The 21,347-nt window shown below is 54.7% G+C and overlaps 1 protein-coding gene across 20 annotated transcripts in view, besides 6 other annotated features; it reads left to right on the top strand.

The window, feature by feature from the left end:
- Positions 3,605-3,974: a silencer, noted in NCBI's record as "silent region_9119". NCBI's record gives its function as "represses an Ori minimal core promoter by ATAC-STARR-seq in GM12878 lymphoblastoid cells {active_cell/tissue: GM12878}" and the evidence as "EXISTENCE:reporter gene assay evidence [ECO:0000049][PMID:35858748]".
- Positions 3,605-4,495: a biological region, named in NCBI's record as "H3K27ac-H3K4me1 hESC enhancer GRCh37_chr17:79196467-79197136".
- Positions 3,826-4,495: an enhancer, noted in NCBI's record as "H3K27ac-H3K4me1 hESC enhancer chr17:79196467-79197136 (GRCh37/hg19 assembly coordinates)". NCBI's record gives its function as "activates a minimal SCP1, AML or CMV promoter by ChIP-STARR-seq in naive H9 embryonic stem cells {active_cell/tissue: H9 hESC(naive)}" and the evidence as "EXISTENCE:reporter gene assay evidence [ECO:0000049][PMID:30033119]".
- Positions 4,135-4,464: a silencer, noted in NCBI's record as "silent region_9118". NCBI's record gives its function as "represses an Ori minimal core promoter by ATAC-STARR-seq in GM12878 lymphoblastoid cells {active_cell/tissue: GM12878}" and the evidence as "EXISTENCE:reporter gene assay evidence [ECO:0000049][PMID:35858748]".
- Positions 4,197-21,347, top strand: part of CEP131 (centrosomal protein 131) — a 33,370-nt gene continuing 16,219 nt past the window's right edge. For 17 of the 20 annotated variants that reach the window (XM_047435665.1, NM_001009811.4, XM_047435662.1 and 14 more), the window contains exons 1-5: positions 4,197-4,393; positions 7,089-7,282; positions 18,140-18,234; positions 19,923-20,037; positions 20,291-20,418. In XM_047435665.1, coding sequence (XP_047291621.1) covers positions 7,106-7,282; positions 18,140-18,234; positions 19,923-20,037; positions 20,291-20,418 — 515 coding nt within the window. In that variant the 5' untranslated portion in view covers positions 4,197-4,393; positions 7,089-7,105. Of the gene's footprint in view, positions 4,517-7,088; positions 7,283-18,139; positions 18,235-19,922; positions 20,038-20,290; positions 20,419-21,347 lie in introns of all 20 variants that reach the window. The other 3 variants (XM_047435664.1, XM_047435657.1, XM_047435656.1) reach the window with 1 other exon arrangement.
- Positions 4,496-5,165: an enhancer, noted in NCBI's record as "H3K27ac-H3K4me1 hESC enhancer chr17:79195797-79196466 (GRCh37/hg19 assembly coordinates)". NCBI's record gives its function as "activates a minimal SCP1, AML or CMV promoter by ChIP-STARR-seq in naive H9 embryonic stem cells {active_cell/tissue: H9 hESC(naive)}" and the evidence as "EXISTENCE:reporter gene assay evidence [ECO:0000049][PMID:30033119]".
- Positions 5,166-5,836: an enhancer, noted in NCBI's record as "H3K4me1 hESC enhancer chr17:79195126-79195796 (GRCh37/hg19 assembly coordinates)". NCBI's record gives its function as "activates a minimal SCP1, AML or CMV promoter by ChIP-STARR-seq in primed H9 embryonic stem cells {active_cell/tissue: H9 hESC(primed)}" and the evidence as "EXISTENCE:reporter gene assay evidence [ECO:0000049][PMID:30033119]".

Raw genomic sequence — 21,347 nt, 5'->3', positions numbered from 1 at the left:
TCCTATGAATTTTGGTACATTTAAATTGTTATTCAGCTCAAAATATTTTCAAATTTATCTTGAGACTTCCGTTTTGTCCAATGGGTTATTTTAAAGCATATTGTGTTATGATTTAATTCTGATATAGTCAGAGAACATATTTTATATGATTTCTGTTATATTGTTTAAAGATTTCAAGCCTAGGCAACATAGCAAGACCCCGTTTCTACAAAAAAAAAAAAAAAAAAAATTTAAATTAGCCAGGCATGGTCGCAGCTACCCAGGTGGCTGAGGCGGGAGGATTGCTTGAACTCCAGAGGTCAAGGCTGCAGTGAGCCATGATTGTGCCACTGCACTCTAGCTCTGTCACCTAGTGCAGTGGTGCAATCACAGCTCACTGCAGTCTCAACCTCCTGAGTTCAAGCAGTCCTAAGCAATCCTCATGCCTCAGTCACCACACATGGCCTTTTTTTTCTTTGGTAGAGATGGAGCTCTTGCTATGTTGCCCACGCTGGTCTCCAACTCCTGGCCTCATGCAATTCTCCCACCTCAATCTCCCAAAGTATTAGGATGACAGGCATGAGCTGCTGTGCCTGGCCTCACACTTTTGTTAAGGATTTCAAACTTTTGTTAAAGTTTGTTTTATGGCCAAGAATATAGTTTATCTTGGTGGATGTTCCATGTACACTTGGTCTAGAAAACTAGAGATCAATATCCTTCTGGAATATAGATGCAAAATTCCTCAAGAAAACAACAAAATGAATCCAGTAATATATAAAAAGTGTAATACATCACTATAAGTGGAATATATCCCAGGAATGCAAGGCTGTTTCAACCTATGAAAATCAGTGTAATTCAATCCATCATATTAACAGTAAAGAAAAATCACATGATCATTTTATGCAGAAAAAACAAGAAACAAATTCAACATTCACTCATGACCCAAAAACCCTCCCAAATTTGACAAATTAGAAATGTAAGAGATCTTTTGGGTGGCAAGGGGTTTCTGCAAAAACCCCTCAGCTGACATCATACTTAATGCTGAAGGACTGAATGCTTTTCCCCTATGATTGGAAAGAAGGCCATGGTGTGCATGCTAACCATTTCTGTTCAGCATTACACTGAAGCCCTGGCCAGTTCGATAAAGCAAGAAAAAACTAGAAAGCCAGACACATTAGAAAGGAAGAAATAAAACATACTATTCACAGAAAACAGGATTGTAGAAAATCCCGTGAAATCTACCAAAAACTTCCTAAGACTAAGAAGTGAGTTTAGCAAAGACACAGGCTCCAGGGTAAATATACTAACATCAGTTACACTTTTGTAATAGCAATAAACAATTGGAAATTAAACCATAAAAAACTACCATCTGTAATGGCACTCCAAAAATGAAATGATTAGGTATAAATTAGAAAGATATATGTAGGATGTGTATGCTGAAAACTTCAAAGTACTGATGAAAGAAATCAATGAAGATCTAAATAAGTGGAGAGATATACCATGTTCATAAATTCTGGTGTCAATTCTTCCAGGTTACAGGTCTACAGATTTAATGTAATCCCCATCAAAATCACAGCTGGATATTTTTTAAGATAGTGACAAGCTGAAACTCAAATTTATAGGAAAAGTCAAAAGAATTTGGATAGCCTAGGTAATTTGGAGAAAGAAGAACAAAGGACTCAAAACCTGATTTCAGGATTGACTCTAGGCCAGGTGCAGTGGCTCATGCCTGTAATCCCAGCACTTTGGGAGGTGAAGGTGGGAGAATTGCTTGAGCCTAGGAATTTGAGACTAGCCTGGGCAACATGTGAGACCCCATCTCTGCAACAACAACAACAACAAAAACACTAATCAAGACAATGTGGTAGGCCGGGCGCGGTGGCTCACGCCTGTAATCCCAGCACTTTGGGAGGCCAAGGCGGGCGGATCACGAGGTCAGGAGATCGAGACCATCCTGGCTAACACGGTGAAACCCCGTCTCTACTGAAAATACAAAAAAATTAGCCAGGCGTGGTGGCGGGCACCTGTAGTCCCAGCTACTCGGGAGGCTGAGGCAGAAGAATGGCGTGAACCCGGGAGGCGGAGCTTGCAGTGAGCTGAGATCGCGCCACTATGCTCCAGCCTGGGCAAAAATGCGAGACTCTGTTTCAAAAAAATAATAATAAATAAATAAATAAATAAGTAAACAAATAAAACCAATCCCTGACAATACCAAGAGCTGAGGAGGATGGGGAGCAACTGCAACACCTGTGGCACTGGTGGGAGCGTAGAGCTGTACAACTTCTTTGGAAAATAGCTTAGTAGGCCGATGTGGTGGCCCACGCCTGTAATCCCAGCACTTTGGGAGACCGAGGTGGGTGGATCACCTGAAGTCAGCAGTTCAAGACCAGCCTGGCCAATATGACAAAACCCTGTCTCTACTAAAAATACAAAAATTAGCCTGGCATGGTGACATGTGCCTGTAATACCAGCTACTCGGGAGGCTGAGGCAGGAGAATTGCTTGAGCCCAGGAAGTGGAGTTTGCAGTGAGCCAAGATCATGCCATTGCACTCCAGCCTGGGCGACAGAGGGAGACTCCATCTCGGAAAAAAAAGGAAAAAAAAGAAAAAGAAAATAGCTTGGCGGTTTCCTTTTTTTTTTCTTTTTCTTTTTTTTGAGATGGAGTCTTGCTCTGTCGCTCAGGCTGGAGTGCAGTGGTGATCTCCGCTCACCGCAATCTCTGCCTCCTGGGGTCAAGCGATTCTCCTGACTCAGCCTCCTGAGTAGCTGGGATTATAGGCAGACGCCACCAGGCACGGGTAATTTTTTTGTATTTTTACTAGAGACGGGGTTTTGCCATGTTGGCCAGGGTGATCTCGAACTCCTGACCTCAGGTGATCCGCCCACCTCAGTGTCCCAAAGTTCTGGAATTACAGGTGGGACCCACTGCGCCCGGCCGGCAGTTTCTTATAAACAATCATTTGATCCAGCAACCCCACTCCTGGGTATTTACACAAGAGAAATGAAAAGTTGTGTCCACACAGAAGCCGATGAGTGAATGTTTATGGCAGCGTCATTCATAATTGCCAAGCACCAGGAACAATCTCTGCGTCCTTCATTTGATGAATAAAACCATCAATAAATAAAACCATCTGAACCGGTGGTTCACACCGGTTACAGGATACCACTCAGCAATAAAGAGGAACCAGCATGAATCTCAAAATGCGAAGTGGTAGAAGCCAGACCCACAGGCGCGCTGCGCGACATCCCTTTTGTGTGACATTCTGGAAAAGGCTGCCTCTAGGGATGGAGAACAGAGAGAACTGAGCAGCCGCCACCAGCAGTCAGCAGGTACGGGATCCGGAGGGAGAATGTTCTGTAACTAAAGTTACACAACTCCACTGCACACCAAAAAATGTGGATTTTACTGAAACCAAACTTTTTATTTTACAGAGCACTGGACTTTTTAAAAAGCGGGGGCAGGGGAGACCAGTGTGCTGTGACTTTTAGGGGAAGGATGGCTTCCCTGGAGAGGACCTGGGCGGAATCCCCAGGGCTCCCGGAGAGAGGGGGAGTCACAGAGCGGCTACGCACGGGGCGCAGCGTTAAAACTTTGGAGAAGGAAAAAAAACAACAAAGCAGCGCGAAGGGAAGGAGGTCAGGGAGGTTAGCAAGGCGCCCACACGCCCTCGCAGTCGTACTGAGTAACGAGGGGAGTCGCGCACGTGGGTGGGGACAGAGCGGCCTAGGACACTGGGGGAGCCCCGGGCCGCGGGAGTGCGGCGGCCTGGGGGTGTCGGGGAGCCGAGCCGAGGCCGCGTGCTCCTCGCGCCCTCCCTGGTGTCTCCTCCCCAGGCCCTGCGTGCCCCGCCCACACCTGCCTTGCCCCGCCCACATCTGCCTCGCCCTACTCGCCCATCACACCCCCACCTCACGCCCCGCCCACAACCGCTGGGGCCCCGCCCCTGCCCGGCCAGCTCCTCCCGCCGCCCTCGGTCCCCCGCCCCCTATATGACCCGCCCCTTTCCAGCCGCGTCCAATCGGCCGCTCTCTGTAGTCGCGTCCCTCAGCCATCCGCCGCTCCTCCCACGCTTGAACTTCCCGAAGGACAGCCGAGCGGCCCAATGAGCTCCCGGGACGGCCTGAGCGGGAGCGTGAAGGGCCAATCCGGAGTCGGCGCGCGCAGGAAAGGCGGGCCGGCGTGACGGGCTGGGGAGGTGGTGCCAGGCTGGTTGCTAGCTGCCGCCGCTGCTCACCCCGGCCGTCCGGCCGCTTCATTGTCACCGGGCCTCGGGGCAGTGTTGGGGGTGGCGGGGCGCCAGGTCGCCGACCCGAGGTTTGGGCGCGACTGGTTCCGCATCCCCTCCCCGCCGGCCGAATCTGCAGGCCCCGCGCGCCAGGCAGGCTTCGCGGCTGCGCCCCCGGCCCGCGCAGGTGAGGGGGGCCCGGGCAAGGGAGGGGGTTGCAGGGCGCACGGAGGTTGGAGGGGTCCGGAGCCCGCGCAGGTGGGAGGCCCTGGTCCAGTGATGAAGTGATGGGGATCCGGGGCACGCACAGGTGAGTGGGGGGATCTGGTGCCCGCGCAATTGAAGGCGGGATCCGGGGGAAGTGAGGGGGATCCAGGGTGCGCACAGGTGAGGGAGGTCCGGGGCCCGCGCAGGTGAAGACAGGCTCGTGCCTGAGGGTGTGGGTCCCCACCTCCATCCCCTCCACCCTCTCCACCTCCCTCCACTCCCCTCCGGTCCCCAGGACAACATGGAGTCCAGTCCCGGCATCTCTGGCCCGGCTGCCTTAAGCCCTGGGGAAAATGGGGAGATGGGAGCTGCCCTGAGGACAAGTGGAGGGCTCTGCTCTGCGCGTGGGCTCTGGCCTCTCTGTCCAGGGTCAGGGTCAGGGTCAGGGTCAGCCCACCCTGGGAACCAGGTCCTGGCGCTGGTCATCAGTCCCCGCCCCTTCAGGTCCTGGGAGGGACACAGTTTTATCCAAGATGTAGTGGCCTCCCAGGCCTCCCTTCTTCTGGCTTGGAGGTTTCCATGGAGAGGCCCCGTTCGCCATCCCAGAGCCGCTTGCAAGTGTGGCTGGGAGAGCAGAGTCCTGGGCTCCAAGGGCTTGCATGGGTCCAGCCAGGGGTGGACAGTGCCCTGCAGGAGGAGGGTGTTAAGTTTCTTCCGCACAGCCGGAAGTGCATAACTGAGGACTGGGACCTGGTCAGTGGCAGGGTCAGCCTCTAGGGAGTAGGGGTATCCATCGCTCCGTGGAAGGGACCTTGGGGGACCTGCTGTGGGGTGCCGGGCTGAAGGAAGCCCAGGGTGACCTTGGGCGATAGGCTGGGTGCCTGCTGGCCTACTGGAGGCCACCGTGGCAGGGAGGTAATTCTCGAGGTTGGTCCCTGGCGCCAGCTTCTCCCGTTCATCTACGGGTTCAGCTGAGTGCCTTTCCCTGCAGGTGCTGGGGTTGCTCAGGAGCCACACAATTCATAAACCAACTGTGTGCGGCCACAGGAAGGGAGTCCGAGCCGGATGGGGAGTGAAGAGTGATGGGTGCTCAAGGAAGGCCTCTGAGTGCAGGGAGGGAGTGTCCTGAGACCTAGAGGCAGGGGACTGGCCGGGGCCAAGCTGGCTGAGTTTGAGGAGAACCAGGGAGGCTGTGTTGGCTAAAGCCACAACAAAGGGGCACAGCAGGGGAGCTGGCGAGGTCACAGAGAGTACAGGGCCAGATCTTGCAGGAGTTGGATGTGTAGACTTTATTCTCTGTGCCTAGGAAGCTGTTGCAGGGTTTTTGGCAGGGGCACATGCACGAGCTGAGACCCGTTCAGAAAGATCAGAAAGACTCGTTCAGAAAGAGGTGCCATGTGGGGACGGGCTGGGGGCCGGCAGGGTTTGCTCTGAGAAGTTCCAAAGTAAGGAAGCCAGCATCCCCAAGCTAATCCCCTCGATCGATCGTCAGAACCCCCGTCCCCTGCTGGAATAACACATTACCCAGGGAGTGTTTGCCCGGTGCAGCCTTGAGGCCTTGAGACCAGCATCTTGTCTGGACCTCACAAAACCACTCCCGCGTTTTTTTTTTTTTTTTTTTTTTGAGATGGAGTCTCGCTATGTTGCCCAGGCTGGAGTGCAGTGTCACGATCTTGGCTCACTGTAAACTCCGCCTACCAGGTTCAAGTAATTCCCCTGCTTCAGCCTCCCAAGTAGTTGGGATTACAGGCGCTCGCCACCACGCCCGGCTAATTTTTTGAAGTTTTTAGTAGAGGTGGGGTTTCACTGTGTTGCTTAGGCTGGTCTTGAACTCCTGAGCTCAGGCAATCTGCCTGCCTTGGTCTCCCAAAGTGCTGGGATTACAGGAGTGAGCCACTGTGCCCGGCCAACACGCAACCCCTTTTTAAAATGTGTATTTTTACTTAGGGGCCGGGTACGGTGGCTCATGCCTGTAATCCCAGCACTTTGGGAGGCCGAGGCAGGCGAATCACCTGAGGTCAGGAGTTCGAGACCAGCCTGGCCAACATGGCAAAACCCCGTTTCTACTTCTACTAAAAATACAAAAATTAGCCAGGCGTGGTGGCGGGCACCTGTAATCCCAGCTACTCAGGAGGCTGAGGCAGGAGAATCGCTTGAACCCGGGAGGCAGAGGTGGCAATGAGCCGAGATCGCGCCACTGCACTCCAGCCTGGGTGACAAGAACGAGACTCTGTTTCAAAAACATAATAAAATAAAAAATAAATCAAATGTCCCTTTTACAGAAGAAAACAGTGGGGCTCGGGGCAGTGACTTTCTCAGAATCACGGTGTGGGGTAGATGGCAGAACCTGGCTCACATCGACAATGGCCTGTGGCCCAGGCTCCCTCTGGGGTGCTGCTGGCTTATTCCCACCCACGGGCCTTGCCCTCGCCACCCACCTGTCCATCATCCAGGGCCCTCCTGCCCTGGCATACACTGACATTGGGCTCAGAACAGCTCCCTCATGTTCCTGTCGAGGAGCCTGCCACCAGCCAGAGGGGTGCATAGGTTGTGACAGGCCTTCCCAGGAAGTTTGGTGGCCAGTGGACCCAGCTGAGGCTGGGCTGGAGATGGTGGGTGCAGGGGACTGTAGTTCCCCCACGGCATCTCATTGCAGCTCTTGCTTCCCCGCTCAGGACCTGCCTTGTCCACCATGAAAGGCACCCGGGCCATCGGCAGCGTCCCGGAGCGCAGCCCAGCAGGTGTGGACCTGAGTCTGACAGGTCTCCCTCCGCCTGTGTCCCGGCGTCCTGGCAGTGCCGCCACCACCAAGCCCATCGTCCGCTCTGTCTCCGTGGTCACAGGCAGCGAGCAGAAGAGGAAGGTGCTGGTGAGTACTGTGGCCTAGGAGTCCGGGCCCCTGCCTCCTGGAGGGCTGTTGTTCAGTTGGCATCTGACCCCTGGGTCCAGCTCCACAGGTGAACAAGTGCCTCACATCTGGACATGCTGGATCCTCGTGGCTGTTCCAGGAGGCAGGTAGGACTTGAGTCTTACAGGCGTGGGTGCTGAATCACTAGAAAGTCAAGCCAGAGCTTGGATTCTTTCAGCAACAGCCCCAGGCCTCCTGTGCCACCGCCCTTTGGATTTGTTTGAATCCTCAGGAAATGGGGTTGGCTGGGCTCGGTGGCTCACGCCTGTAATCTCAGCACTTTGGGAGGCCGAGGCAGGCGGGTCATCTGAGGTCAGCAGTTCAAGACCAGCCTGACCAACATGGTGAAACTCCGTCTCTACTAAAGATACAAAAAAAAATTAGCCGGGCATGGTGGTGCATGCCTGTAATCCTAGCTACTCGGGAGGCTGAGGCAGGAGATTTGCTCGAACCCAGGAGGCAGAGGTTGCGGTGAGCCGAGATCGTGCCGTTGCACTCCAGCCTGGCGACAGAGTGAGATGCCATCTCAAAAAAAAAAAAAAAAGAAAGAAATGGGGTTGACCTGTGGGGAGGGGTGATGAGCTCCTGGTGGCCTTGGAGAAACCTAGACGGGTGTGTGGGTGTGTGGGCAGCAGGACAGCCGTGGGAGCTTCGGGGTGAGAGCTGCCTTTCCTGCCCACCTCTGGGAGTAGGGAGGAGGGTGGGTGGTTCCCAGATGGGGGCTGTGAAAGGCAGGCCGGGCCTGCTGCACCCTGAGTTGGTGTCTGCCAGGCCCAGTCTTTGGGGCAAGGGAGGAATCGAGCCGCTCTGTGGGGGTTGGGGCAGAGCCTGACCAGAGTCTGGCCTGAGCTTCCGAATAGCAAGGGCCTGGGGGCCTTGGCTTCCATGCGGCAGCCGGTCTGGGGCTCCCTGCCTGAGGTCCGTGCCAGGCAACATAGCAGGGCAGAGAGAAGGGGTCTGGAGGGCAGTTGAGGCTTCCCACAGGAACCCCTGGCAGGCCCAGGCCAGGGTTCCACTGTGAATAAAAGGCTTGGACCTCCCCCTTCTCCTTGAAAAAGTTATTCCTGTGTCTGCCCTAGAAGCACCCCCAGGTGGGCAGGGTGTGGCCCGCCAGACGGCTAGCCGAGTTCCGGGGTAAGGGCAGCCGGGCCAGTAGCGGACCCTTGGACCAAGCAGGTTCCCAAAGCCTGGGCCAGCAGGGCGGGGACCCGGGATGTCCTGATGTGTCATTGTGGCCGGCAGGTTGTCTAAAGATGTGGTACGCCTCTAGGCATTTACAGACGTAAGCTGTGAAAATAAAAATATGCTGCACTGTTTTAGCAGAGGGGTAACCAGCTTGGGCTAGAGCCGTCTCTGAGCCTGCTGCCTCTCCTGTCCGCAGCCCTGCTCCTGCGTCACTGACCCCCTCGCCCACCTGCCTTGGCCCCTCCCGCTGTTTCTAAAGCCCTAGGTTCATGGCACATGGGGCGGGGAAGACGCACTCGAAATCGCAGATCTGGGCTGGGCGAGGTGGCTCACGCCCGTGATCCCAGCACTTTGGGAGGTTGAGGCGGGTGGATCACCTGAGGTCAGGAGTTCAATACCAGCCTGGCCAACATAGTGAAACCCTGCCTCTACTGAAAATGCAAAAATTAGCCGGGCGTGGTGGCGCGCACCCTTAATCCCAGCTACTCAGGAGGCTGAGACAGGAGAGTTGCTTGAACCCGGGCGGAGGAGGCTGCAGTGAGCCGAGATCATGCCACTGTACTCCAGCCTGGGCGAAAGAGCAAGACTCTGTCTCAAAAAAAGAAAGAAAGAAAGAAAGAGGGAGGGGGAGGGGGAGGGAGAGGGAGAGGGAGAAGGAGAAAGAAAGAAATTGCAGCTCTCTTGTTGTGTGGAGACTGTTGTAAAAGTTTCCGGGCTTTCTAGTAGATGGTCTTTCGGCGGCATGGCCAGGCTCTATCCGCGGCCGACCCAGGCACCTAACCACACTCCCAGCCTTTCTGCTGGGAAATGTTCTGTTGCTGAGTAGAGGTTCAAAGCCACAGCGAGCGCTACTCATATCGATCCCTCCTTTCCTCGGCTGGTACCATTGCCCGCTCCCGCAGTGTTGAGTGGCGACTGCTAACAGTCCCCTCGTTCATGGAATGTTCCAGCTGTTCACTTCAATTCTTTGAGGCCCTCGCTCGATCCGAGACGGCCCCACCCCTGCATGCCTGTCTGCCTTCTGTTGTGCCCATGGTGGGAGCTCGGGAACTGCTGGTGGAAGAGGAACCCCCGCCAGTGTGTGACGTGACCTCAGGGGTTTCTGTTGTGCCCGGTCCCCATCCTCTCGGCCACCTGCCCTGCTACCACTCAGTCTCATCGGGATTCCTGGAGAGCATTTGTTTTGGCCAGGCATGGCTTCACACCTGTACAAGGCGGCACGTGATTCTCTTCCTCCTGGTGTTTGTGGGTGGGGTGGGGTGCTGTCCCCTGGCTCGGAGACCTTCTCGGTGGCCATTGGCCTGGGGTTTCCACTCTACCCCTTGTCTCTAAAGATCTTCCTGCGTCCACGGCCTGCTGTCCCGGGATTCCCCATCCAGGATGTAACTGCAGTTCCTGCTGGTCTTCTGGCTCAAGAGATGTCGGTGCCAGACTGTAGAGGGTCCCTCTTCCTTGCCCCAGCTGTGTGCCCACCTGATCCTCTAGCCCCCTAGATCATTATTCACTCTGGTTCCCTTCCCCTTAAAGAAAAGAGGTCTTTAAATCCCAAGAGCACAAGCTCACTGGGGAACAGACATCACTGTGCATATGTGTCATGGCCATGGGGGCCACCTGCCCCTCCCTGGGCGATGTTGCCTCCTTCTTGCAGGTGGAGTTTAGGGTTTTTAGTCCATGACTTGATTTACCATCTGAGCATGAGTGGTGCCTTTCCACCGTGGTGTCCGTCAGTGAGTGGCAGCCCCTTCATCCCTCCCCTGACATCCCTTATCTTCCTCTTGGAGGCTGCGAAACTGACCCCAGGAAAATGGAGACAGGATGAAGGGCACCCATAATCCCATGGCCCTGATGCAATGACTGGTGCCATTTTGGGGGATGATTTCAAAATTCCTACCATGTGTTTTGAATAGGCCATTCACACCCACCATTTGGGAAAAGGGGGCTCATTGAGCAGTGAGCCTGTCCTGCCCGACCTTGCGGGCCTCTCCTAGGCGGCCACTGTTCTGTTTCTCCTGCACCCACACTTACTCTGGGCACACAGGCATCAGTGATGCTGGAGATGTGTTGGAACAAGTGCCGTATCCGTCAGCTGCGTGGGGCTCCTGCATTCTCTTTTCTTTTTCTTTTTAAGACGGGGTCTTGCTCTGTTGCCCAGGCTGGAGTGCAGTGGAGAAACCACAGCTTACTGCAGCCTCCACCTCCCGGACACAAGTGATCCTCTTACCTCAGCATCCTGAGTAGCATGGATTACAGGTGCTCACCACCCTGCCCAGCTAATTTTTAATTTTTTTTTTCTTTTGAGACAGACTTTTGCTCTTTTTGCCCAGGCTGGAGTGCATTTGTGAGATCTCGGCTCACTGCAGCCTCTGCCTCCCGGGTTCAAGGGATTCTCCTGCCTCTGCCTCCCAAGAAGCTGGGATTACAGGCATGCACCACCATGCCCGGCTAATTTTGTATTTTTAGTAGCGACGGGGTTTCGCCATGTTGGTCAGGCTGGTCTTGAACTCTTGACCTCAGGTGATCCTCCTGCCTCAGCCTCCCGAAGTGCTGGGATTACAGGTGTGAGCCACCACACCCAGCCTACTAATTTTTAATTTTTTTGTAGGGACAGGGGTCTCACTAGGTTGCTGGTCCTTAACTCCTGGGCTGAAGCGATCCTCCCACCTCGGCCTCCCAAAGTGCTGGGATTACGGGTGTGGGCCGCTGCACCTGACCCTGCTCCCGCTTTCCTTACATTGTTTTGTAGCAGCTGACAATAGTTCATCAGATGATGCACCAGAACTTCACCCAGTGCTCCTCTGGATTTTCCTTATCATAGTACCAAGAGTGGCACAGCAAATACCCTGTGTCTTTGCCATTTTGCATACATGTAAATACGCCTGTAGAATAAATCCTAAAGGATAACTACTGGGTCAGAGCATAAGTCCATTTAAAATTTTGAAAGGGGGGCCAGGTGCGGTGGCCCGTGCCTGTAATCCCAGCACTTTGGGACGCCGAGGTGGGCAGATTGCTTGAGGTCAGGAGTTCGAGACCAGCCTGGCCAACACGGTGAAACCTCGTCTCTACTAAAAATAGAAAAAATAGCTGGACGTGGTGGCAGGCACCTGTAATGCCAGCTACACAGGAAGCTAAGGCAGGAGAACTGATTTAACCCGGAAGCTGGAGGTTGCAGTGAGCCAAGATCGCACCACCACACTCTAGCCTGGGTGACAGCGAGACTCCATTTCAAAAAAAATTAAATAAATAAAAAAATTTGAAAGGGGGCCGGGAGTGGTGGCCAATATCTGTAATCCCAGCACTTTGCGTGGCTGCGGTGGGAGGATCACTTGAGGCCAGGAGTTTGAGACCAGCCTGGGCAACATAGTGAGACCCCTGTCTCTACAAAAAAATTAAAAAATTAGCCGAGTGTGGTGGTGCATGCCTGTAGTCCCAGCTACATGGGAGGCTGGGGCAGGAGGATGGCTTGAACCCAGAAAGTTTGAGGCTGCAGTGAGCTATGATCATGCCACTGCTCTCCAGCCTGGGCAACAGAGTGAGACTCTATCTTTTAAAATTAAAATTAAAACTAAATTGTAAATTTTTGGCCAGGCGCGGTGGCTCATGCCTGTAATCCCAGCACTTTGGGAGGTTGAGGCAAGCAGATCACGAGGCCAGGAGATTGAGACCATCCTGGCTAACACGGTGAAACCCCATCTCTACTAAAAATACAAAAAAAAAAATTAGCCGGGCGTGGTGGCAGGCACCTGTAGTCGCGGCTACTCGGGAGGCTGAGGCAGGAGAATGGCGTGAACCCAGGAGGCGGAACTTGCAGTGAGCCGAGATCGCGCCACTGCACTCCACCCTGGGCGACAGAGCGAGATTCCGTCTCAAAAAAAATTTTTTTTTTTGATAGGCATTGCCAAGTTGCTGTCCGTAAAGATCATTGCCCTAAGTCACACTCGCATCACAGGGTGCCACGGGGCCTGCTCCCTCGTGCTCTGGTTGGCACACGTGCAGCACAGTTTTGGCCTTTACAGGATCCATATGTAACAAAAGATATCTGACTGTACTACCTTTTAGTTTACTTTTTACTTTTTATTTTATTTTTTTCTTTTTCTTTTTTGAGATGAAGTTTCACTCCTGTCACCTAGGCTGGAGTGCAATGGTGTGATTTCACCTCACCGCAATCTCTGTCTCCTGGGTTCAAGTGATTCTCCTGCCTCAGCCTCCCGAGTAGCTGGGATTACAGGCGCCTGCCACCATGCCGGGCTAAGTTTTGTATTTTTAGTAGAGACAGGATTTCACCATGTTGGCCAGGCTGGTCTCAAACTACTGACCTCAAGTGAATCCGCCCGCCTTGGCCTCCCAAAGTGCTGGGCTTACAGGCGTGAGCCTCCGGCGTGACTGTACGATTTTTAAAAATAAACCTTTTATGTTAGTATAGTTTTAAATTTATAGAAAAATTGGAAAGTGCAGGGTGTTCCCCTGTACCGCACCCAGTCTCTGCTATTTGAATATCTTACATTATGATGGGACGTGTACAATTAACAAGTCATTATTGGTAAATCACTGACTAAAGTCCACACTTGATTTGTATTTTTGCAGTTTTTCTTTTCTGTCCCAGGATCCCACATGATTTTTGGGCTGTGGGTCTCAGGCTTGTTTGGGCTGTGAGTTTCTCAGACTCTCCTTGTTTTTGATGACCTTCGAGTTTTGGGGAGAGCTGGTCAGGGATTTTACAGAATGGCCCCCTGTTGGCCCTTGCCTGATATTTTTCTCGTGATCAGACTGGGTGGTGGATGGGTTCTAGGAGGAAGGCCACAGAGGTAAAGTACTCTTCTCACCCCATCCTGTCTGGGGTCCACACTGTCCATGTGACCTCTCACTGGTGATGCTGCTGGCCTTGGTCCCCTGGCCAAGGTGGAGGGTCAGGCTTCTCCACTGTGAGGTCGCCCATCCCCTGTGCTCTCTGGAAGGAAGTCGCTTTGTTCAGCCCACATGGAAGGGGTGGGGAGTTTTGCTCCCCCTCCTTTAGAGAAGAGCATCTATAGAAGTTATTTGGAATTCTTCTACACAGGAGATTTGTCTGTTCACCCTCATTTATAATTTTTTTTTTTTTTTGAGACAGTGTCTCACGCTGTCGCCCAGGCTGCAGTGCAGTGGCATAATCTTGGCTCACTGCAATCTCCGCCTCCCGGGTTCAAGCGATTTTCCTATCTCAGCCTCCTGAGTAGCTAGAACTACAGGCGTGTGCCACCACACCTGACTAATTTTTGTATTTCAGTAGAGATGGGGTTTCACCATGTTGGCCAGGCTGGTCTCGAACTCCTGACCTCAAGTGATCCTCCTGCCTTGGCTTCCCAAAGTGCTGGGATTACAGGCATGAGCCACTGCACCTGGCCCCACTTATTAATTTTTTCAATCATTTATTATAATGGACTCGTGGATATTTATTTTACACTTCAAGTTATAATTCAATGCTAGTTTGCTTATTTTGTTGCTCTCATTGTCACAGCTTTGGCCACTGGGAACTTTCAGGTGGCTCCTGGGTCCCTGTGTCATTGCCCATCACTTTGTCTTCTGAGCACGTCCTTATTTCTGGCCCTATAAACTGCTCCAGCCTCATCTTGTCTATTTCCTCCTCCAGTCCTAGAATCAGCCATTTCTTCAAGAAGCCCCGGTTCTTTTTCTTGGAGAGTGGTCTCAGAGACCAAGGTCTGGGAGCTGGGTGTGCTTGTCCCTACTGGGCTGTTTCTGGTCTTCTCAGCCAACAGAGCAAGGAAGTATGTAGTGTACGCCAGTTGGTGTGTAATATACACACTGTCTATAGATAGTAACCTACCTAGTAACCATTGGTGTTGTGCGTCCTACTGATGTCTCTGCCGCTAGTGGCACCTCTCGCCCCCCCGACGCTTGCTGATTGTAACCTCCCCTCCTGCAGTGAGGATGCGGCCCCATCGTCTGCTGTCCCTGGTTTAGCTCCTGTGTGTGTGTAAGGTGTGTAAGGTGGTGTCACAGTGGATAACCCAAACCCCATGGGAAGAACACCACCAATGCTGTGCTATGCTCTGGGACAGCCCCTCTGCACGGGCCCCACTCCTGCCCACGGCTCCTCGGGACAGCCCCTCTGCACAGGCCCCACTCCTGCCCAGGGCTATTAGGAAGAGCCCCTCTGCCTTTAGGCTGACAGGCCCCACTCCTGCCCGGGGCTACTCGGAACAGTCCCTCTGCACGGGCCCCACTCCTGTCCAGGGCTGCTTGGACAGCACCTCGCCCTCCACCTCTGATTTTATTTCTAACTTAACATCTGTGAGTGAGGCTGAACATCTTTTCTTTTCTTTTCTTTTTTTTTTTTTTTGAGAGGGAATCTTGCTCTGTCGCCCAGGCTGGAGTGCAGTAGCGCAATCTCGGCTCACTGCAACCTCCGCCTCCCAGTTCAAGTGATTCTCCTGCCTCAGCCTCCTGAGTAGCTGGGATTACAGGTGCGTGCCACCATGCCCGGCTAATTTATATATATATATCTTTTTAGTAGAGACAAGGTTTCACCATGGTGGCCAGGCTGGTCTCAAACTCCCGACCTCAGATTATCCGCCCACCTCGGCCTCTCAAAGTGCTGGGATTACAGGCATGAGCCACCGCACCCGGCCACATCTTTTCATATTTTTAAGAGCCGTGTATATTTCCTTTTCTATGAATTGTCCATGTTCTTTGCTGATTTTTCTATTTTTTCTTTTTTTTTTTTTTTCAGAGACAGGGTCTCACTGTGTTGCCCAGGTTGGAGTGCAGTGACACTATCATAGCTCACTACAACCTCTAATTCCTGGGCTCAAGTGATCCTCCCACCTCAGCCTCCTGAGTAGCTGGGACTGTAGGTGCATGCCACCACGCCTGGCTAATTTTTTTATTTTTTGTAGAGATGGGGTTTCACCATATTGCTCAGGCTGGGCTTGAACTACTGGGATCAAGTGATCCACCCGCCTTGGCCTCCTAAAGTGTTGGGATTATAGGCATGAGCCACCACGCCTGGCCACAAATCACGTATTTAGACCCTCAGGCTGGCCCAAGGCCCCTGGTAAACAAAGGCACTTTCCTCAGGGACTTGGCGTCTGCCTCCCAGGGGTGGAGGGCTTGCAGTCCCTGCCGCATGGGTGGCTTCTGCCTGCTGCCCCTTCTGCGTCTCTTCAGCTCCTCCAGCAGCCTCCAGGTCACCAAGCCTGTGCTCAGCCCCTTGTCAATCCTCTCCTCACTGACCCCTTTTCAGGGTCTCTCTTTTGGGCACTTGCTGTCTGATGGGCACTGCCCAGGCTTCCCAGAAGGCATCTTGTTTCTCCTAGAAGGATGGAGGCCTCCATGGGGCCCTTCCTCTCCTGCTGTTGTGCTCCCCACACCCTGCCTTCTGACCTCCCGAACACCTTTCCAGCGCCCAGTTTGGGGCCCTGGGAGCACAGCCCAGCAGGGATTGAATGAGGAATTGCACAGGGCCTCTGTGGCCCCAGCGTGGAGAACGGGGCGGCGGCTGTGTCTTGTATTGGGTGTTAGCTTTTGCTCTCTGGTAGTCACTGTCTGTAGCCTGGTCTGGAAGGTATGACCAAGCCCGTGAGTACTTTCTCTGGAAGAATGGTGGCGCCCACGCGCTCGTGGGATTTCCACCCCCAGACCTCACAGTGGCCTCTGTCTGGCCTCCTTTAACCGGCTCTGCTGCCGCCGAGCTGGGCTCCCTGCCTGCACTTTCTGTTCAGCTATTTTAGACCATGGTTTCCTGACCAGGAAATGCCCGTAACAAGTGATTGGGGTGTCCTGGTGGGGTGCATGTGTGTGGCTGCTTTCCTGGAGCCTTTTTTTTTTTTTTTGGTCTTTTTTTGAAGTTGGGTTGTTTTCAGCTTAAGGATTCAGATTTAAAAATAATTCTGAAAGTTCATAGGTCTCTTTTCCTGGGAAACTGGAGACCCGAGGTCCCATCCTGTGGTGGCATGGGCACCTGGCCAGGATCTATATCACTGGTCGCCGTGGCATCCAGTGGCATCCGGTGGTGTTCCCCAGACCGTTTCCCACTGGACTGTGAGCCCTTTCCCCTGAAATGTTTGATTTGGAGGGTTTTTTGTTTTTGTTTTTTGACGGAGTCTCGCTCTGTCTCCAGGCTGGAGTGCCGTGGCCCAATCTCGGCTCACTGCAACCTCCGCCTCTCAGGTTTAAGCAATTCCCCTACCTCAGCCTGCTGAGTAGCTGGGACTACAGGCACCCGCCACTATGCCCAGCTAATTTTTGTATTTTTAGTAGAGACGGGGTTTCACCATGTTGGCCAGGATGGTCTTGATCTCCTGACCTCGTGATCCACCCGCCTCGGCCTCCCAAAGTGCTGAGATCACAGGCGTGAACCACCGCGCCCGGCGGTCTCCATCTCTTAACCTGGTAATCTGCCCACCCCGGCCTCCCAAAGTGCTGGGATTACAGGCGTGAGCCACTGCATCTGGCCGATTTGGAGGGTTTTTAAGCCTACAGGAAAGTCAGGGAGCGTAGCGTAAGGTACTTATGAGTGCCACTTTCCCGAGCGCCACTTCCCCAAGCGCTACTTCTCCGAGCGCTCTGATCCTCGCTTAGCGTCCGCTTCTCCGAGCGCTCTGATCCTCGCTTAGCGTCCGCTTCTCCGAGCGCTCTGATCCTCGCTTAGCGTCCGCTTCTCCGAGCGGTCTGATCCTCGCTTAGCGTCCGCTTCTCCGAGCGCTCTGATCCTCGCTTAGCGTCCGCTTCTCCGAGCGCTCTGATCCTCGCTTAGCGTCCGCTTCTCGGAGCGGTCTGATCCTCGCTTAGCGTCCGCTTCTCCGAGCGCTCTGATCCTCGCTTAGCGTCCGCTTCTCCGAGCGCTCTGATCCTCGCTTAGCGTCCGCTTCTCCGAGCGCTCTGATCCTCGCTTAGCGTCCGCTTCTCCGAGCGGTCTGATCCTCGCTTAGCGTCCGCTTCTCCGAGCGCTCTGATCCTCGCTTAGCGTCCGCTTCTCCGAGCGCTCTGATCCTCGCTTAGCGTCCGCTTCTCCGAGCGCTCTGATCCTCGCTTAGCGTCCGCTTCTCCGAGCGCTCTGATCCTCGCTTAGCGTCCGCTTCTCCGAGCGCTCTGATCCTTGCTTAGTGTCTGCTGCGCAGCCTCCCCTCCACCCCTTTCCACGGACCTGGAACCGCTGGGCAGTTGGCTGCACTCACTACCAGGTCTTGCAGCACCTGGTCTTGGTTGCGTCTCCTTAGTCCTCATCGTGACCCCACAGAGTCGCTCTGGGTGCCCACCCTGCTGACGGAGGAGACCGCGGGGTGAAGGGTCCCCAGGGGTTCTCATCCACTGAAGGTGGGAGCTCGCGGTTCCTGGGAGCTGGTGGGTGACAGTGAGCAGCTCCCTTCCCGCCCTCCCTCTGCCAGGGGTGAAGGGCTCCTGCTTGATGCGGGGACGGGGAAGCTCTTAGAGGTCGGGCCTGAGCCCCCCTCGCGCTGCCCTGCTGTCCAGTGCTCCTGCCCCTCTGACCACCCACTGCCTTTGAGGCCACTTGGGCCACCTGTAACCCTAGGGCCACCCCTCTGTTCTCTGACTGCGTTTCTCCAAAGCTGGCGGAGGCTGAGCAAACTGGTGAGTGAGCCTTTGCTGCATAATTAACTGTTTTCTCCCTTTTTGCAGGAGGCCACAGGGCCTGGGGGCTCCCAGGCCATCAACAACCTTAGAAGATCCAACAGCACCACGCAGGTCAGCCAGCCTCGGAGCGGCTCCCCCAGGTAACCCCTAAGGCCCTTGGATAACCCTGGCCCCTTCCCGGGACCTCAGGTGCCCCACCCTGGCCTGCTCCTCCCTGCCTCTGCTCTGCCCTTCCTCCAGCCTCCTGGGTCCCGGGCCCTTGCTGGCTAGTGAGGCCTGGAGTGACCTCACGGGCCAGCTTTGTGTCCCAGGCCTCCTCTCGCATTGGGGCGGGAGGCCTGAGGCAGACACTCTCCTGCACTGCATCCCTCCCTTCCTCCTTGCTGTCCCGGCGGCTGCTGGGACCCTGCCTGAGGGCTCCGCTGAAGCCCTTTCCACCTGCCCTCTGAATGTCAAAAGCTGTCATTTGCGAGAGGGGCAGCACTGTGACCCTTCTGAACCCCCACGCTGTGCGCCCCTGTTCCCACCTTTGCCCACTTAAACCCTGCCACTGTCCCTTGCGGCCTCCAAACCAGCGGGCTGGGGAGGAGCTGCCTCAATGGCCCCAGTGGGGGTGTTGTGGGGAGTGGAGCCGGTGGTGGCCAGCAGCCTCCGGGGGGACATCCTCTAGCCCAGAGTGGTGGGCGAGGTCCTGACACCACCTCCCACCAGGCATTGTCCCCGAGCGAGCAGGGTGCTCCTGTGGGGCCGTGGACCTAATGAAGGCTGAGTTCTGGGTCACCAAGGGCCCCGGGTGGACCCTTCCTGGGAAGACCAAGAACTGCGGCCACCACACCCTATCCAGTGCAGCCTCCGGGAGCCGCTCTTAGCTCAGCAACTAGCTTCGTGGAGTCCCACCAAGCAAGGGACTGCCAAGGCCAGCTGGTGTGTGTGTGTGGTATGTGTGTGGTGTGTGGGTGTGTGGCATAAGTGTGTGTGTGTGGTGTGGTGTGTGGGTGTGTGGTGTGAGTGTGGTGTGTGTGGGGGGTGTGTGGTGTGTGGGTGTGTGGTGTGAGTGGTGTGTGTCTGGGGTGTGGTTTGTGAGTGGTGCATGTGTGGTGTGTGTGTGTGTATGGGGTGTGTGTGGTGTATGGTGTGTGGTGTGTGTGTTATGTGGTGTGTGTGGTGTATGTGTGTGTGTGGTGTGTTTGGTGTGTCACCACCCTCAGCCAGGCCACGGTTTTGATCCCACCTGATCAGTTGTGTTCGGCGCAGCTGTGGCCTCCCATGGGGCAGGGTGGCAGTGGGGATTGGCCACCAGCCCATGCCTTCCAGCTGTGCTTCCCCTTCTGCTCTGAGCAGCAGCAGGTGTGGCTCTTGGTTCACAGGGAAGAGGGTGGCAGCAGAGGCAGCCACGGTATTTAAGGCCCTCGGTGGGCAGCCGGGTGTGCAGGCTCACACCTGCAATCCCAGCACTCTTGGAGGCCAAGGTGAGAGGATCTCTTGAGCCCAGGAGCTCGAGACCAGCCTGGGCAACATAGCCGAAACCCTATCTCTACTAACATAAAAAAAAAAAAAAGAAAAGAAAAAACAAATAAGGCCCTTGTCCCCAGAAACTGTGATCGGTGTGACTGATGAAGCTTCTGATGGAAGCTCACCCTGAACGCCCAGCTCCACTGAGGAACCCTGGCCAGGCACAGTGGTCAGATGGGGGCTTTGGGCCTAGAAACAGAGTTGCTGCTAGTGCCTCAGCCCCTCTGTCCTCGCGGGACCTGCCTGGTCTGTGTGCCTAGCGTCGGCTTCCCGGCTGGTGACTCTTTCCTTGTGTGCCGCCCTCTCTCGGATGCAGGCCAACGGAGCCCACAGACTTCCTGATGCTCTTCGAGGGCAGCCCCAGTGGGAAAAAGAGGCCTGCCAGCCTGAGCACAGCCCCCAGCGAGAAGGGAGCCACCTGGAACGTCCTGGTAAGGTGGTGCATGCGGCCCCACGTCCTGGTCTCTGTGATGGGATTGTGGCCTGGTTCCTAATTTGTTCTCACTGCCTTTGCAAAAGGGCACTGCAGGGAGGGTGTCAAGCTTAGATCTGACATGGCAGACCCCAGGACATCCACCTGTCTGTATGGGAAGTTGGTGGCTCCTCCCGTTTGTGGGAGAGGCAGGGAAGGGATGGGGTGTCTGGGTGTGTGCGGGCGGTGTCATGGGCTGAGCTGTCTGACAGGATGACCAGCCCCGGGGCTTCACCTTGCCATCCAATGCCCGGAGTTCCAGTGCCCTTGACTCACCAGCGGGCCCGCGGAGGAAAGAATGCACCGTGGCCCTGGCCCCCAACTTCACTGCTAACAACAGGTACGACCTGTGCAGGTGCCCACGACGGGCACCAGTGGGAAGCTCCTGGAGTGGAGACTGTGTGTGTCTTTGTCTTGTTTATGGCTCGTTCAGGGTGCTTTGGAATGAATGAATGAGTGAGTGAGTGAAAGAATGGCTTTCATTCCCAAGGGCATAGGCAGGAGGCTGCCAGGTGGCGTCTTGCACATAAGGGGCTCTCGGCCCAGGCTTTGCTCTTAAAGAGTTTCAGGCCTTGGGGAGGCTCACATGGGGCTGAGAGGGTGGGGCCTGGGGAGGGGCCTTGGCTGAGGAGGCTTGTAGGGGGTCCTGGGGAAGCTCCAAAAGAAATAGACTCCAGGCAGCTGCCTCTGAGCCTTCAAGGAGAGTGTGGGCTCCTTGGGCTAGGCCTCAGGGGACCCATGAGTGGAAGGGATTGGGGACACATTTTTCCTCCGGCATTTAGAGCCTTTGCCAAGGGAATAGTCTCAGGGGAGAGACCGTGTGGTTATTCTCCAGGGTTGGCACAGGAAGAATTCTTGCCTTTTTTTTTTTGAGATGGAGTCTTGCTCTGTCACCAGGCTGGAGTGCGGTGGCATGATCTCGGCTCACTGCAACCTCTGACTCCCTGGTTCAAGCGATTCTCCAGCCTCAGCCTCCCGAGTAGCTGAGATTATAAGCACGTGCCACCACGCCACCACGCCCGAGTAATTTTTGTATTTTTTTCGTAGAGACAGGGTTTCACCATGTTGGCCGGGATGGTCTCGATCTCCTGACCTCATGATCCACCCGCCTTGGCCTCCCAAAGTGCTGGGATTATAGGCGTGAGCCACTGCACCCAGCTCAATTCTTGCTTTTTAATTTATTTTTAAGTTAGAGGCAGGTTCTCATCTGTCACCCTGACTGGAGTCCACGATCATAGCTCACTGCAGCCTCTACCTCCTGGGCTCAAG

The sequence above is a fragment of the Homo sapiens genome, chromosome 17 (genome assembly GCF_000001405.40).
Source record: "Homo sapiens chromosome 17, GRCh38.p14 Primary Assembly".
NCBI classification, from domain to species: domain Eukaryota; kingdom Metazoa; phylum Chordata; class Mammalia; order Primates; family Hominidae; genus Homo; species Homo sapiens.
Note: the sequence above shows the minus strand (reverse complement) of the source record. Positions and strands in the feature narration are given on the sequence as shown.